The sequence below is a fragment of the Homo sapiens genome, chromosome 8 (assembly GCF_000001405.40).
Source record: "Homo sapiens chromosome 8, GRCh38.p14 Primary Assembly".
NCBI classification, from domain to species: Eukaryota; Metazoa; Chordata; class Mammalia; order Primates; family Hominidae; genus Homo; species Homo sapiens.
The window spans coordinates 74,075,273-74,091,333 of record NC_000008.11 but is presented as its reverse complement, the minus strand read 5'-3'; the positions used below and the strand labels follow the sequence as shown (position 1 = coordinate 74,091,333).

At 42.8% G+C, this 16,061-nt stretch overlaps 1 protein-coding gene and 1 pseudogene across 2 annotated transcripts in view, besides 2 other annotated features; both read right to left on the bottom strand.

The window, feature by feature from the left end:
• Positions 1-16,061, bottom strand: part of LY96 (lymphocyte antigen 96) — a 108,466-nt gene that overhangs the window by 8,524 nt on the left and 83,881 nt on the right. The window lies entirely within an intron of this gene.
• Positions 11,691-11,797, bottom strand: RNU6-1197P (RNA, U6 small nuclear 1197, pseudogene; annotated as a pseudogene).
• Positions 12,164-12,664: an enhancer, noted in NCBI's record as "H3K4me1 hESC enhancer chr8:74990905-74991405 (GRCh37/hg19 assembly coordinates)". NCBI's record gives its function as "activates a minimal SCP1, AML or CMV promoter by ChIP-STARR-seq in primed H9 embryonic stem cells {active_cell/tissue: H9 hESC(primed)}" and the evidence as "EXISTENCE:reporter gene assay evidence [ECO:0000049][PMID:30033119]".
• Positions 12,665-13,165: an enhancer, noted in NCBI's record as "H3K4me1 hESC enhancer chr8:74990404-74990904 (GRCh37/hg19 assembly coordinates)". NCBI's record gives its function as "activates a minimal SCP1, AML or CMV promoter by ChIP-STARR-seq in primed H9 embryonic stem cells {active_cell/tissue: H9 hESC(primed)}" and the evidence as "EXISTENCE:reporter gene assay evidence [ECO:0000049][PMID:30033119]".

The window sequence follows — 16,061 nt, the reverse complement described above, 5'->3', positions numbered from 1 at the left end:
AAGAACCAGCCAGCTGCAGGGTTCCAAGAGATGCAATCTTGCAAGAGGTGGTGCCACTTCGAGAGCTTTCTGGGTGGAGAAAGATGGCCCAGCTGGTGGAGACAGCCCACAGCTGGAGGAAATATGCTATCCAAAAAGTGTTCATAGAATGTCCCACACAACCTCACAGTCTCCTAAATATTACTGTAGCCTCACTTTCTCCTCGTATACCCCTCTCCCCATGCCACTCCTTTCTGTACATCCACCCACCTACACATTCAATAAAGGAAATAAATCTAATGATGCCTTATGTGGTCTTTTTACAAATAGCAGCCAAAATAGACATATATTGACGATACACATATATACCAGAATCACATGGAGAATGAAATAAAGTAAAATGTCATCAGGCATTGAGGGCATCTGCAGCATGCGGGCACAGCTCTGTTTCTAATATTGAGATGCATTTTCTATCATTTAAATAATATCTAAATGTTCCATGTAAGGGAGAATTGACATTTTCAAATGTTAGTTTCATATATATAATTCCAAGAGAGTCCTACCAAATTGCTGGAGAAACTAATCTTATTTTCAGTAGACCCAGAATACACTCCAGCTAAGACTGCATTTAACATTTTGATCTACATCAGTAAGCCTCCTCTCACATTGCCAAGTTGGGGACGGAGCCCTAACAAGATACAGCACCACCTATTGACCACATACTAAAAATACAGACTGTCCATTTAAGCATATTCAGGCTCACATGCTATGTAGGGTTGAGACATGTAATTTATTTCATATCAACTGATCTTTAACATTTCAACAGATTTAATAGAAGCAAAGTGAGAATAGAAACTATAAAACATTGTCAAGGTATTCTGCTTCCATTCTTTTAATGTTATTTCTTATAGCTCTATTATAAGAACTTAATCTTACCTATTTGTCCTAATTATCTTATTATCCTAATCCTATCTATTTGTATTTGCTCCCTGGTTCATTAAATACATATTCACTAAGCACCTGTATATGCCAGATCTTGTGTGTGGCAATAGAATCACAGTGGTAAACAAGACCAACATGACCCCTTACCACCTGGGAGTTTATGGTTTTCCTAGAATCTGACCACTTTTCATCACCTCAGCTAAGAATGCCTTAGTCCAAAGCCACCTAGATGATTGCAGGGGTCTCCTTACTGGTCAACCTGCTTTCACTCTATGCCTCCACAATCTCTTCTTGATGGAGCATAGAGGGAGTCCTTTAAAACGTAAGTCAGACCACAAACCTCCCCTGCTCTAAAACCTCCAAAGCTTCCATCTCATCCAAAATGCAAAATCATTACTTTATAAGACCTGGCCTCCCCTTTCCACCTCTCTCCATCCTCCCAGGCCCCAATCTTCCACACCAACCATCCTGTCCTCCCCACTCTTTCTCAAACTTAGGAAGCCACGGGGCCTTTGCTTGGATGCTTATCCTCAGATGCCTACATGACACACTCCCTCAAGGTCTTTGCTCAAACAGCACATGATTCGTGAGGCCCTTCTTGACCACCTTTCCTGAAATCATAACAGCACTCCTTACGATGGCATTCCTATCCCCCCCACCCCCCATTTATCCATCATGCTTATCACTATCCGACCTACTATCTGCAGGCACTCGCCTGTTCATCTGTCGTTGTCTTCTACAACTAGAGTGCAAACTCCATGAGGGCAGGGACTTTGTTTTGTTAACTTTGGAATCTCCAGAGCCTCAAACATTGTCCTTTACACATCTGTCAAATAAAATCTCATCCACTTTCCCTGTGTATCTTTCTCATTCTCTAGACCCTGGTTCCCGAGGGCAGTGAAGGAGTCAGATATGGGAAAGTTTCATACCAAGTCTAGGACACAGAAGAGCTCGTCCTATGCATGTTTGGGGGCAGGGCCAGATACATGGATGTGTTCCATGCTCAGAGGGGCCCTGTGCCAGGTTTAATGCTCTCGGTGACCAAATTGAAATCCTTCATAATTTTTGGATAAAAGGACCTGCATTTTCCTCTTGCCCTGGCCTCCCACAAATTATGTAGCCAGTCTTGTTTTGAGGATTTGGAATAAAACATGTGTGAGTAAATAGCACACTGAAAAAATCCATCGAAAGATAAACAGTTCTCACAGGGCATGGCCCTTTTGATAAGTCACAACCACCAGCTATTTCATCACTGATCATTCCAGGAAGGAAGCTTCGCCCCTGAGGTATATGAGAGGTTTGCTCTCTTCAGCCTAGGACTAACCCTATCCTGCTAGGAAGTCAGGGGATTGTTCCCAGCAGTTCTTTCCTCTGCACCCTTCTCACCCCATCTCCCCCTCTCACCAGGCCACAGGCTGGAATTCCCCACCAGCAAGATCAATCCATGCCAAGAGAGAAGAAGTAACTTACATGGATACAATTGTTAAATTAACTCCTGCAAAGCTTACATTTAAAATAGGCAGGAGAGGTCAGGCACAGTGGTTCACACCTGTAATCCCAGCACTTAGGGAGACCGAGGCAGGCTGATCACTTGAGGCCAGGAGTTGGAGACTAGCCTGGCCAACACTGTGAAACCCCATGTCTACTAAAAATACAAAAATTAACCAGGTGTAGTGGTAGGTGCCTGTAATCCCAGCTACTTGGGAGGCTGAGGCACAAGAATCGCTTGAACCCAGGAGGCAGAGGTTGCAGTGAGCCGAGATCGTGCCACTGCACTCCAGCCTGAACGACAGAGTGAGACTCTCTCAATAAATAAATAAATAAATACTCAGGAGGGTTCCCAGTAGGAAAGGGTCACAGTCTGCGGTTTTAGCTTAGAGGTTGAGGGGAGGGAAGAGATGAGACTGAGCCCCAGAAGGGTGGATGCTTGGGGGTATGTGGTGCAAAGGAGGGAGCAGAGCGGAAAGGTAAGAAAGGGACATAAAACATCTCAGAAGACTTAGCAACTGCTTTGACTTGGCTCAGGGCACCAACAAATGGCTCCTTGTGTTTTCCTGGACATAGACAAAGAGGTGGAAAAAGGAGTAAGAACCATGGGTGCTCCACTGCCCTCTGCTGGCCCCTGCAAGAAGTGTCCAGTGTGCTGGCAAAGTGTCATGGGGTTTTCTCTTGAATGATGGCTGCACACAAAACATTCATGAGTCCTGAGAGCAGGGGAATAGTAAGATGTGGTTAAGCAACACTTTCCTTTTCTATTCTTTTCTATTCTATTCTATTCTATTCTATTCTATTCTATTCTATTCTATTCTATTCTATTCTATTCTATTCTTCTCTCAGTGAAGTACTAAACAGTACGGGTACAATGCTTTGGGAATTCAAGCCAGCAAAAAAGCCTCAGGTAGATGGGTGGTTAGTGGATAAAGACAAACTTGAATTTGTCCTTGAAGGATAGGAAGGATTCAGACAAGAAAAAGAAGAAAAAAGAGAAATTAAAGGTGAAAGGAAAAGCTTTCAGAGGAAGACCCATAAAGACAAGAACAGACACAGAAGAGAGATGGTTGAGCCCAACTAATAATTTGAATATTAAGCAATGTTTATAGCAAGGTGAGGACAAACTATGCCTTTCCTCAGACAAAAAATAAGGACAACATCTAAAAGAACAAAGGAAGTTCTTGCCACTAGAAAGCTTGGCGATGTCTTTCATTAGACTTGTTAGGAAGTCTCACTTTTCACACCTCTGTGAAATAGAAGATAGGCAGTCCAGAAACAAAAACTCCCCAAGCAAAGTGGTGACATGTTTGAGGCCCTTTACGGCAAAACAGTGAACCTTGGCCACCCAGAGGTTTGTAACACTCTCCAAGTGTAGACCACACCAAGACTGATGCCATCTCTCAGGTGGGACCCCGGGATTCCAAAGCTGATTGGAGCCTGAGTGCTGACGGCTTTGTTTTGGTGGCTTTTCTGAGGCTTCTCAGGATTAGTAGGTTGTAATAAAATACAATTTCCTTTCTTAATGACACTGGTTCTTAAACTTTGGGGAACCTACAATAAAATACAACTGGGCACTTGTCAAAATATAGAACGGCAGGCTCCATCTCCCAAGATGTCGACACAGGAGGTCTGACTGCAGTTTATTAATCTGCATTTTAAATAAGTCTCATGCACTCCCCAGATGATTCCGATACAGGTAATTTTAGGACCATGTTTTGTACTGCCCTATAAACTGTTTCTCAAGTCACTGGTTAACTCTAATGCAAACCCCTAAGCTTCAGATCCAGTTTTGTAGGATTTCAGGAGCTATTGCCACCCAACTTCAGAAGAGTATCCGCAAGGCTTTCCATTCTGTCATGATCTTCTTTCACCCAGAGGTATTCAATATTCACACAAGAAGGGAGAATTTGAAAGATGCCCTGACTTAGTCCATATGGGCTGCTGCAACAAAAAGCCCCAATGTGGGTGGCTTGTAAACAACAGAAATTTATTTCTCACAGGCCTAAACACTGGAAATTCCAAGTTCAAGGTGCCTGCAGATTCAACGTCTAGCGAGGGCTGCACTTCTTTGTTGATAGATGGCCCCTTCTTGCTGTGTTCTCACATGGGGAAGGAGCAAGGAAGCTCACTGGCACCTCTTTTATAAGGGCACTAATCCCATTCGGCAGGGCTGTGCCTCCCAAGGGCCCCACGTCTTAAAAGCATCACATTGGTGATTAGGTTTCAACATAAATTTGGGAACGTAGGGTAGGGGAGGATTAACATTCAGACCAAGCTCAAGCAAACAGCATCAGTTAGAATATGAATTATCTTGGACCTCATCCTAATACATAACCAGAATTATATCCGACCATTTTTGTCAAGCTTTGGTTTATAAATGCAAAAGGCAGGAACCCCTGACTTTTACAGAAGGAAAAGCCTGTTATAACAGCCATGGAAATTCTCGTGATTAATTGGAACCAGCAGTGATGGATTTGAGATAGTGAGACAGGCCTCCATGTAGTCTTCAATGAGCAAAGAATGCCTGAGCTAATTCATTCATTCAGCAAAGGCTTCCGGAGTGCCCACCTCTTGCCAGGCACCAGAATCCTCGCAGTGAGCAAAACTGGTACATGTTCTCCCTATAGTTTGTAGAGAAAGACAGAAGATGGTATTAAGAGCTGGAAAAGAAGTCAAGGATTGGGTAAGGAGTGGCTATGTTAGGTAGAAAGATCAGGGGAATGACTCCGATTGAGTGACATTTATGCTAAGACCTGAATGTCAAGAAGCTGGTCATGGAAAGATCCAGGAAAGATTTCACTTATATGTGGGATCTAAAAAAGTTGAACCCATAGAAAACAGAGGATAGAATATTGGTTGCCAGGGGCTGGGAGGGGGGTGGTTGGGGAGATCTTGGTCAGAGGGTACAAACTTTCAGTTATAAGATGAATATGTCCTAGGGATCTAATTTACCGCAGGGTGACTCTAGTTAACAATACTGTATTATGTATTTGAAATTTGCTGACAGTAGACCCTAAATGTTCTTGCTACACACACACACACAAATGGTAACTAGGGTGAGGTGACAGATATGCTAACTAACTTGATTGTGGTAATGATTTCACAATGTATATGTATATCAAATCAACACATTGTACCTCTCAAACTTTCACAATTTTATTTGTCAATTATACCGCAATGAAGTTGGAAAAAATTAAATTTAAAAAAAGATCCAGGAGAAGAACAGTAGATGCAAATCTCTGAAATAGAAAGGAGTCTTGGCATGCTTGAGGAACAGGAAAAAGGCCAGTGTGACTGGAACAAGTGAACAAGAGGAAGGCAGAGTTGGAAAAGCAGAAAGGAGCTGGCTGCGGCAAAGGCATCACTATTGCTGCAGTGGCAGAGAACTATTTTCAACAATGACACTCCGGTGACAAATCTTTGGTTTCGTGGGTGATTGGCAGGCTCTTCTGTACACACTGACACAATGAGTAACTTGGGTCTGTCTAGTGGAAGATTTCAACCTTGGGAAGCCATCCTCTCCCCTAAAGCCTTTTCTCCTTGTTCAAGATGTCTGAAACTATACCAAGAAGGCAGAAAAGGATGTGATTCCTCTGTGATTCCAGAATAAGATGTCTGGCTTTGAAACCAGACAATCATAGGTTTTAGTTTCAGCTCTGTCACCTTTTAGTTGGCAAGTTATTGAAACAACCTGAGCTTTGTTTCCACATCTGTAAAATGGGAATAACATAGACTATCTTACTCACAGGGTTGTTGTAGGCATTTTGTGAGACAACACACATAAATCATTTACTGCCGCAGCTGGCATATAATAGTAGCTGCATACAAATGTTATTCTTATCCAAGAAGCTTCATTTCTCTCATTTAACATGTTGATGGAAGTTAAACAGAAAGTCTATCTGGAGTAATCACACCGTAACCTGTTATTTGTCATTTGTACTTTAGTGTGAATGAGTCTGCAATTCTTTCTCCAAAGCTCTACAAAGTTGAATTTAAGAGAAAGAGAGGGCTGGGTGCGGTGGCTCACGCCTGTAATCCCAGCACTTTGGGAGGTCAAGGCAGGCGGATCACTTGAGGTCAGGAGTTTGAGACCAGCCTGGCCAACATGGTGAAACCCCATCTCTACTAAAAATACAAAAAATTAGCCGGGCGTGGTGGCAGGCGCCTGTAATCCCAGCTACTCGGGAGGCTGAGGCAGGAGAATCGCTTGAATCTGGGAGGCAGAAGTTGCAGTGAGCCGAGATTGTGCCACTGTACTCCAGCCTGGGCAACAGAGCGAGACTCTATCTCAAAAAAAGAAAAAAGAGAGAGAGAGATTGAAAGACAGACCAAGATTCCGGATTACAGATGCGGCCAGAGGAAAGAGGAGAAAACTAGTTGGGGAAGAAGGGGTACAATCTCTGAAGTCTTCAGTGTTTAAATTCCTTAAAAACTATTAATAAAGGGAAAGAAGCCAGCATTAATTCTGACTTTCCTGTACAAACTGCACTTCAGAGTTACAAATGCTTATAAGAGAAGTTTCTCTTCCAGACCAGTATTCTGGCTAAGGCGTAGGAAGCAAAGATAGAACTGGAGTATTACCACTGAGCAACCTCTAATGAGCTAAGGGACTGAGTTAATCCGTGCATCAGGACTGCTCACATCATAGAAGGAGAGAGAACTCAGCATTTTGTGTCTCCAGATAGAAGTACACACACTACCACCTATGAGATATTTCTGCCCTAAACTCAAGCTAAATGTTTACATCTAACTATCATTTTGATAGCAATACAGAGAACAGAGGAACAGGTTAAACATCACGAGGAAGCAATCAGCAAAATCCAGACTATGGGAAACTCTACTGGAGAAAACATCCAGTTTCTTCAACAAATAAATTGCAACGAAACAAAAAAAAAAAAAGAGCATGAGGGGAAACCTGTAGATTAGAAAAGTTTTGGCTGGACACAGTGGCTCACGCCTGTAATCTCAGCACTTTGGGAGGCCAAGGTGGAAGGATCATTTGAGCCCAGGAATTCTAGACAAGCCTCGACAACATAGTGAGACCCCATCTCTAAAAAAAAAAATTAGCCAGGCATGGGGGCACATGCCTGTGGTCCCAGCTACTCAGGAGGCTAAGGCAGGAGGATCACTCCAGCCCGAGAGGTCAAGGCTGCAGTGAGCAGTGATTTTTGCCACTGCACTTCACCCTGGGTGACACAGCAAGACCTTGTCTCAAAAAAAAGAAAGAAAAGATTTAAGTGGTATCCCAACCAATCACAACATAGGCACCTATCAAAAATCCTGATTCAGACAAACCAACTATAAAAGTAAAAGCTTATAATAAAATCAGTGAAATGTGACTGGATATCTGATAATATTAAGGAATTGCCAATAATTTTTTAGGTGTGGTCATCATATTACAGTTACTTTTTAAAGAGTCATGGCTTATGCCTGTAATCTCAGCACTCTGGGAGGCCAAGGCAGGTGGATCACAAGGTCAGGAGTTCGAGACCAACCTGGCCAACATGGTGAAACCCCATCTCTACTAAAAATACAAAAAATTAGCCAGGTGTGGTGGCGGGCGCCTGTAATCTCAGCTACTTGGGAGGCTGAGGCATGAGAATTGCTTGAACTGGGGAGGTGGAGGTTGCAGTGAGCTGAGACCATGCCACTGCACTCCAGCCTGGGCAACAGAACAAGACTACGTCTCAAAAAAATAAAAATTAAAAAATAAAGAGTCCTTAACTTTCAGAGATATATGCTGGAATATTTACACATATTTGCATTTATGATATGTGTATTTATAGATATATATTTACATATATAGATACATATAAACATCTGTATAATACCTGGAACTTACTTCAAATTAATCCAGCAGGGGGACGGGGAAAATGGGTTCAGGACACACTACCCCAAAATATGACACCTTGGCATTTGAGAAAACAACAGAAGCAGGAAGTCCTCTCTCACCTTTCCCTCAGCCTTCTCCCCTGAAGCAGATCACAAATCCCTCATTTGAAAAGTACCCTTCCTATACCTGGGGTGAAAGGAACATCCTTACCTCTGAAGACACAGGGACACAGAGAGGAACCTGAACAAACAGGCCTTGCTAAGTTTCCCCCTAGCTTATTATCATTCAGTCACATCCTTCTGCCCTCCAGTCATATTTCGCCATGACGGTCCATGCTCCATCAAACCTAAGCATAGCAATACACAAGTGCACCTGTTTACTTGAATCTTCATTTCCTTAAGAAGTCTCCCCTTCATATAAAACTTATATCAAATAAATGTGTATGCCTTTTGCTTGTTAATCTTATTTTGTTATAGGAGCCTCAGCTATGAACCTACGATGGGTGAGAAAAGGAAATCTTTCCGCCCCTGCAGGTGTTTGGGGTTTTTTTAAATAACAATACAATAATAAAAACTAAAATAAAATCAGAAAAGTGTTTAAATAACTTCAAAATTTTTCTTAAGTTTCTGTTACCTGCACACATTGCACTGGTAGGCAAGGGCTCCATGAGTTGGAAGCATTTGAAAGCCTTTACGTGGACATGACCACAGTCATGAGGATGGCCAGTATTTATTGATAACCTATACAATCTAAGTCCAATCTAGGAACATGCTCAACCAGAAGAAAAATGGTGCAATTGCATGAAAACCAAAATCCAGAAAGAAGATAAAGAAAGAGTCACTCACTGTGAGTTCCTTGCAACTCTGTTTTTCCCAGTTCTTTATGAGCTGCTGAAGACTGAGGGACCATGTTTTATTCATCTCTGTTCCCAGATCCTAGCACAAGCCTGGCATATAGCAGCATTGTGGACAACTGGATAAGGAGGAGCACAAAAAATAGGACTGTAGATTAAGGGAAATATTCTATAATTGAAAGCAGGGAGCAGGAAGCTGAAGCCAATCTGCTGGAATGGCCAGGGAAGAGTAAAGCTCTAAGATTGTGCTCAATCTCCCTGAAGCCAAAATGATAACCAATACAAGAAACACCAGCCAAGGGCTAGGCACGGTGGCTCACGCCTGTAATCGCAGCACTTTAGGATCATGAGGTCAGGAGTTTGAAACCAGCCTGGCCAGCATGGTGAAACCCCATCTCTACTAAAAATACAAAAATTAGCTGGGGATGGTGGTGCACACCTGTAGCCCCAGCTACTCAGGAGGCTGAGGCAAGAGAATCTCTTGAACCCAGGAGGCAGAGGTTGTAGTGAGCCGAGATCATGCCACTGCACTCCAGCCTGGGTGACAGAGTGAGACTCTGTCTAAAAAGAAAAAAAAAGAAACACCAGCCGAGGTGGGAAAATTGTTTGAGCCCAGGAGCTCGAGACCAGACTGGACAGCATAGCAAGACCTCATCCCTACTAAAAATTTCAAAATTAGCTAGGCATGATGGCTCACACCTGTAGTCTCATCATTTTGAGAGGCCAAGGCAGATGGATAGCTTGAGCCCAGGAGCTCAAGACCAGTTGGGCAACACAGGAAGAACTTCTCTCCAAAAAAAAAAAAATTTTAAATTAGCCAGGCACAGTGGCATGCACCTGTAGTCCTAGCAACTTGAGAAGCTGAGGTAGGAGGATCACTTGAGCAAGGGAGGTCAAGGCTGCAGCAAGCTATGATCACACCACTGCACTTAAGCCTGGGCAACAAATCAAGAACCTGTCTCAAAAAAAAAGAAGGAGAAAGAAAGGGAGAGAGGGAAAGAAAGAGAGAAAGAGAGAAAGGAAGGAAGGAAGGAAAGAAGGAAGGAAGGAAGGGAAAAGAAAGAAAGAAGGAAAGAAAGAAAGAAAGAAAGAAGGAAGGAAGGAAGGAAGGAAAGAAAGAAAGAAAGAAAGAAAGAAAGAAAGAAAGAGAGAAAGAGAAGAAAGAAAGTAAGAAAGAAAGAAAGAAAAAGAAAGAAAGAAAGAAAGAAAGAAAGAAAGAAAGAAAGAAAGAAAGAAAGAAAGAAAGAAAGAGAGAGAAAGAAAGAAAGAAGGCACAAGACAGTCCAAAAGACAAGAAAGGGCCTAGGAAATCATCAGTAGGCTTTAAACTGATTCAGTCTCTCTTCTGCACAAGAGTCAGCCATCGCCAGGCAGGGCTGGGAACTAAAGAGCCTTAAAGGAAATCGAGCTTTTATTCCCAGGAGTCAACAAAGAGCTGATGGTCCCTGGAGAAGGTGAAACCACATCAGCAAGGTGGGGCCTCTGTACCGCCTGCTGGGAAATTCCATCCTTTGCAATTCTACCCCGTTTACCTCTCTCACCAGGCCAGAAAAAGCACATAGGGAGCTTTTTGGAGAAAGGTTGGGAAGCAGGGAATCAGTAACAGTGTGGGAGGAATAAACATTCCTGTGACAAACTGACAGTGGAGAAGGTAGAGTGTATCATATGGACAGTGTTTCATACGCACAGCTTGAAAACCTACACTTAACTTCAATTCCAAATTCTTCTACAATTTTTTGCCTCTCAGGGCATGCACTTGGCCATGGAATTGCTGTGCAGCTCAAAGCCTGATTCCTGGCACCTCCACACTCAGCCATAAAGCAAAACCATCTGAAAGCACTTTCAGTGTCAATTAACTACTGAGGATCTTTTCCCAGGATTCCTCAACCACGGCCATGAGCAGCAGAAAGAACTTCCGATGAGGTACTCAGGGCTTGGGAATATACCAAAGTCAATCAGGCTCAACCCAAAGGCCATTATGCTAGGATTTTCTTGCATTTTGATTCCAAGCCCCATTTACCACCCCAGGCAGACCCACAGTGGGCACTGCTGCTTGGGAAGCCTCAGCTGCCTTCCAGGGGTCTTGTTTTCACATAAAGGGGTCCTGAACAACACTTCCAACATCATCTGCAATGTACGCTTTCCCTTCAGCTCAGGTTCAATGCCACCACTCCTTCGCTCTTTTCATTGCAAATGATATTAGATGTGAACTTGAGGAAGAAACTGGCCCTCCCTTACTTTTTCCTTTTATTCTGTCCTCATTGGAGTATCCCACAGCCTGGATGTAGAAAAGGATCAGTTCTTCCCCCTTCCCTGCACACATCTGCATGCACATACACACACACACACATTTTTTAAGTCTCTGTCTTTAAGAATCCACAGCTAAGGCTGAGTGCAGTGGTTCACACCTGTAATCCCAGCAATTTTAGAAGCCAAAGCGGGTGGATCTCTTGAGCCCAGGAGGTCAAAGCTGCAGTGAGCCAAGATTCCAGTCTGGGTGACATAGCGACACCCTGTTTCGAAAAAAAAAATCCACTCTCTTTCATAAAATCCACTATCTACCATAAAAACTATCTCTTTTTTGTTTTTATTTTTTAAATTAAACACTTCACAAATTTGTGTGTCATCCTGGCACTGGGGCCATCCTAATCTTCTCTGTATTGGTGCAATCTTAATACACATGCTGCCAAAGCGAACACCACAGCCATCTATTGATAAAGCTCCCTTGTAATCCTCTTCCAAAGTTGTTAGACAGCTTTTAATGGAGACCAGTATACTCCCAACATACTGGCAGACAATAAATTACAAAGGGCATTACCTGAAGATGGTGTATTAGTCAGGTTCTCCAGAGAAATAGACCTAGTAAGATACTTAGAGAGACATATAAAAAGAGATTTATTATGAAATTTTGGTCCATGAGATTATGGAGGCTGAGAAGTCTCACAATCTGCATCTGCAAGCTGAAGGCCCAGGAAAGCTGATGGAGTAATTCCAGCCTGAGTGTGAGGGCATCAGAACCAGGAGTGCTGTTGCCCAAGGGCAGAAGATAGATGTCCCAGCTCAAGCAGAGAGCAAATTCACCTTTCCTCCGCCTTTCTGTTCTAGCTGGGCCTTCAACAGATTGGATGATGCCCAGCCACTTTGGTGAGGGCTGATCTTTACTCAGTCTACTGATTCAAATGCTAATGTTTTTGAGAAACATCTTCACAGACACACCCAGAAATAACGCTTTACCAGCTATCTGAGCATCCCTTAGCACAGTCAAGTTAACACATCAAATTAGCCACTACAAATGAGCAGATAAGTGAACAAAAAAAGAGAGAGAGAGAGAAAGCCCTTAGGAAGAGGAAACGCTCAGAGCTTCTAATTAAAATTCAGAATAGTATTGTTAAAATTCAGAATAGTATTGTTCTCTAATTTTTTTAATTTTTTTCTTTTCTAATTTTTCTAGTTCCAGGAAGTTAGGCAAGAGTGTCATCAGCAGAAAGGGCCATCCCAGGCCTGTGAAGCTCTGTGGGTCTGCCCAGCAGCCATGGGAGGACCAGTGCAGCTTGCATTTCCAGGAGACACAGAATATGCTGCCCCAGGGGTGCTGCCAGATTCCCTGGCAGCCTGAGAAGTGGCCAGCTTTGAACTCCAGTGACCCAGTGCAAAAGCCTCAGAACCCAACACAACCTAACTTAGAATCCCAACCAACACTTGGATGAGTTCCCAAATATGAGTCTTAATATCCCAATCTGCATACTGTGAATCCTAGAAAATCTAAATAATAACATGGGGTGGTGATTGTGAGAATTTAGACAATGTATGTAAAGGACCTGACACTGTGTCTGGATGCTCTCAAAAATGCTCTCAGTAGTTTGCTTTCTGTCCTGTCTTACAATCTTCCTGATCTTCCTGTATCTCCTTTCCCAGGTATTCATTTGGCCACACTCCACAGGAAAATCCTCACACTCCACTGAAAGCTATCAGCTGACACTGAAGGATGCTTTATCTCCAGGGCAGATCTTCATAATACTCAAAATTGAGTTTACTCTGGATTTACTTGTTGAATTCTAGCATATGAAAGACACTCAATAATAGATACCCACTATTTATTATGATAATTCTTTTTTTTTTTTTTTTATTGAGACAGGGTCTTGCTCTGTCACTCGGGTTGGAGTGCAGTCGCACAATCCCTGCTCATCGCAGCCTCAAATTCCTCGGCTCAAGCAATCCCTCCATCTCAGCCTCCTAAGTAGCTGAGGCTACAGGCATGTGCCACCACACTCAGCTAATTTTTTTAATTTTTGTAAAGACAAGGTCTCGCTTCGTTTCCCAGGCTGGTCTTGAACTCCCAGCTTCAAGCAGTCCTCCCACCTCAGCCTCCCAAAGTGCTGGGATTACAGACATAAGCCACCACACCTGGCCCATGTTACCTCTTTTACCAATGAGGTATTATCTTAAATGACCTTTGGTATTTTTTTAATGTTTTATTATGTTTTAACACTTTTTATATATTTAATTTTTACATATTTATATATCATAATATTCATTATAATTTATATTTATTTCACGTATTTTTCTATATTTATCTTTTCATTATGTTTTGAATTTCCAAATACACACATAAATAGAATACTAAAGAGAATCTCTTTGAGCCCTTCTCTAGTTTTCACAGCTATCAACAATTTAGCATTCTTGTTTTATCTATCAGTCCTCCATTTTCATTGCTGTCACATTACTGGAGCAAATCCCTAGGCACCTTATTCTACCACCATATTCTTCAGGATATATCACTCACAAAGGACGGTATCTTACATAACCATGATTCCATCATCACACCTGTAGTGTAAATAAGGCTATCTGGTCTTCATTCCTGGTTCCTGGCACAAAACTCCTAAAACCCTTGGAATTTCCTGAGCGACAGGAGTGTCTTTTGTTATTCATAAAGCGCCTGTTTAGATCACACCTGAGTTTATGCTAATGAAGTATCTGGAAAGGGGCAGACTCAGAGTAAGTGCTATAAAAACTCTCGAACAATGAGATTTGATGAGCTTCCAGGTTGGTGAATACATCAAGATGCTGGGAGGGTGGTGTGCCCAGAGAGAGAAGAGAAGAGCCACGAACCACTCTCTGGCCCCATATGTTGCCCTATGCATCTCTTCTCTCTAGATTTTCTAGAGGTGTGTCCTTTATAATAAACCACTAAACGTAAGTAAAGTGTTTCCCTCAATTCTATGAGTCATTGTAGCAAATTATCAAACTCATCATGGGAACCCCCAATTTAAAGCTGGTCATTCAGAACTGCAAGAGCCCCAGACATGCGATTAACATCTGAAGTAGGGGCAGTCTTGAGGAACCAAGCCCTTTAACTTATGGGATCTGATGCCAACTTCAGGTAGATAGTCTCAGAATTAGGTTAAGTTGTAGTACACCCAGCTGGGGTCCAGAGATTTGGAGAATTGCTTGGTGTGGAGGGAAAAAACCCACACATGTAGTGTCAGAAGTGTTATGTGAATAAAAACAGCATGTTTTCTCAGCCCCCAAGAAAAAATTAACACTAATCCCCTACTATCATTGGATACCCAGTCTGTATCTATATTCCCACAATTACCTCAAAAGTATCTCGGGGTGGGCGCAGTGACTTACGCCTGTAACCCCAGCACTTTGAGAGGCCAAGGCAGGTGGATCACCTGAGATCAAGGGTTCAAGACTAGCCTGGCCAACGTGGTGAAACCCCGTCTCTACTAAAAATACAAAATATTAGCCGGGTATGATGGTGCAAGCCTGTAATCCCAGCTACTAGGGAGGCTGAGGCAGGAGAATCACCTGAACCCGGGAGGCGGAGGTCGCAGTGAGCCAAGATTGCACCATTGCACTCCAGCCTGGGTAATAAGAGTGAAATTTCATCTCAAAAAAAAAAAAAGTGTCTTGGTTGTTTGTTGGAATCAGGAATCCTTGGCATTTGATGGATGTCCCTTAAGTCTTTCTTAATCTATAATGGTTCCTGGGGTAGACATGGAGGGGCATCACCGAGATACCCTTCAAGAAGAACCTACATCCCAACTGCGAGATGTGGGGTCAGCAGACAGCCTCCAGCTCTCAGCTCCTTCAAGGTCAGCATCAGCTGCTGAGAGCTGAGGTCACACCCTTCTCCAAGCGACTCACATTCAGCGACCGAGAAAGGAGGGGTAAAAAGGTCCAGCTATTGGCCTGACACAGAACGACTCTGATAAACAATATTTGCTCACAGAGCCACTCTGGGTTTGCCAAGGTTTTGCCAGGACTGCGTCGCAACAGGTCTTCTCCGTCTAGCACCTTCCCTTTATAGGCACTGCTCCTTACCATCATCCTGCACCCAAACCGTGTGTCAGCATCTGCTTCCAGAGAATCCAATTTGCAACAGTTCTCATCTCTTTTCATACCCTTTACTTGTTGAAGAAACTAGGACTGACTTTATATTTAAAACATGATTTTCAGCATTCCCACAATCATTTCCCAAGAAGGAAAATTATAAGCCAAACATTCTCATTTTCACTAATAGGAATTACTAATTATTTAATCAAAAGAAATTAAAGATAAATACAATATATTTTAAAAGTCTCACTTTATCTTCTAAAATAGGTAAACTATATCGATACATTTCCATTAAGTTGCTGGTGTCACCAAAATAAGCCACAATAAGCCAGGCACAGTGGTTCATGCCTATAATCCCAACACTTTGGGAAGCCAAGGCAGGAGGATCGCTTGAAGCCAGGAGTTTGAGAATAGCCTGGACAATATAGCAAGACCTTGTCTCAACAAAAAAAATATTTAAAAACTAACTGTAGTAGGGCATGCCTGTAGTCCTAACTACTCAAGAAGCTGAGGCAGGAAGATCGCTTCAGCCCAGAAGGTCGAGGCTGCAGTGAGCTATGATTGTGCCACTGCACTCCAGCCTGGTCATTAGAGCAAGACTCTGTCTCAGAAAATAAAAAATAC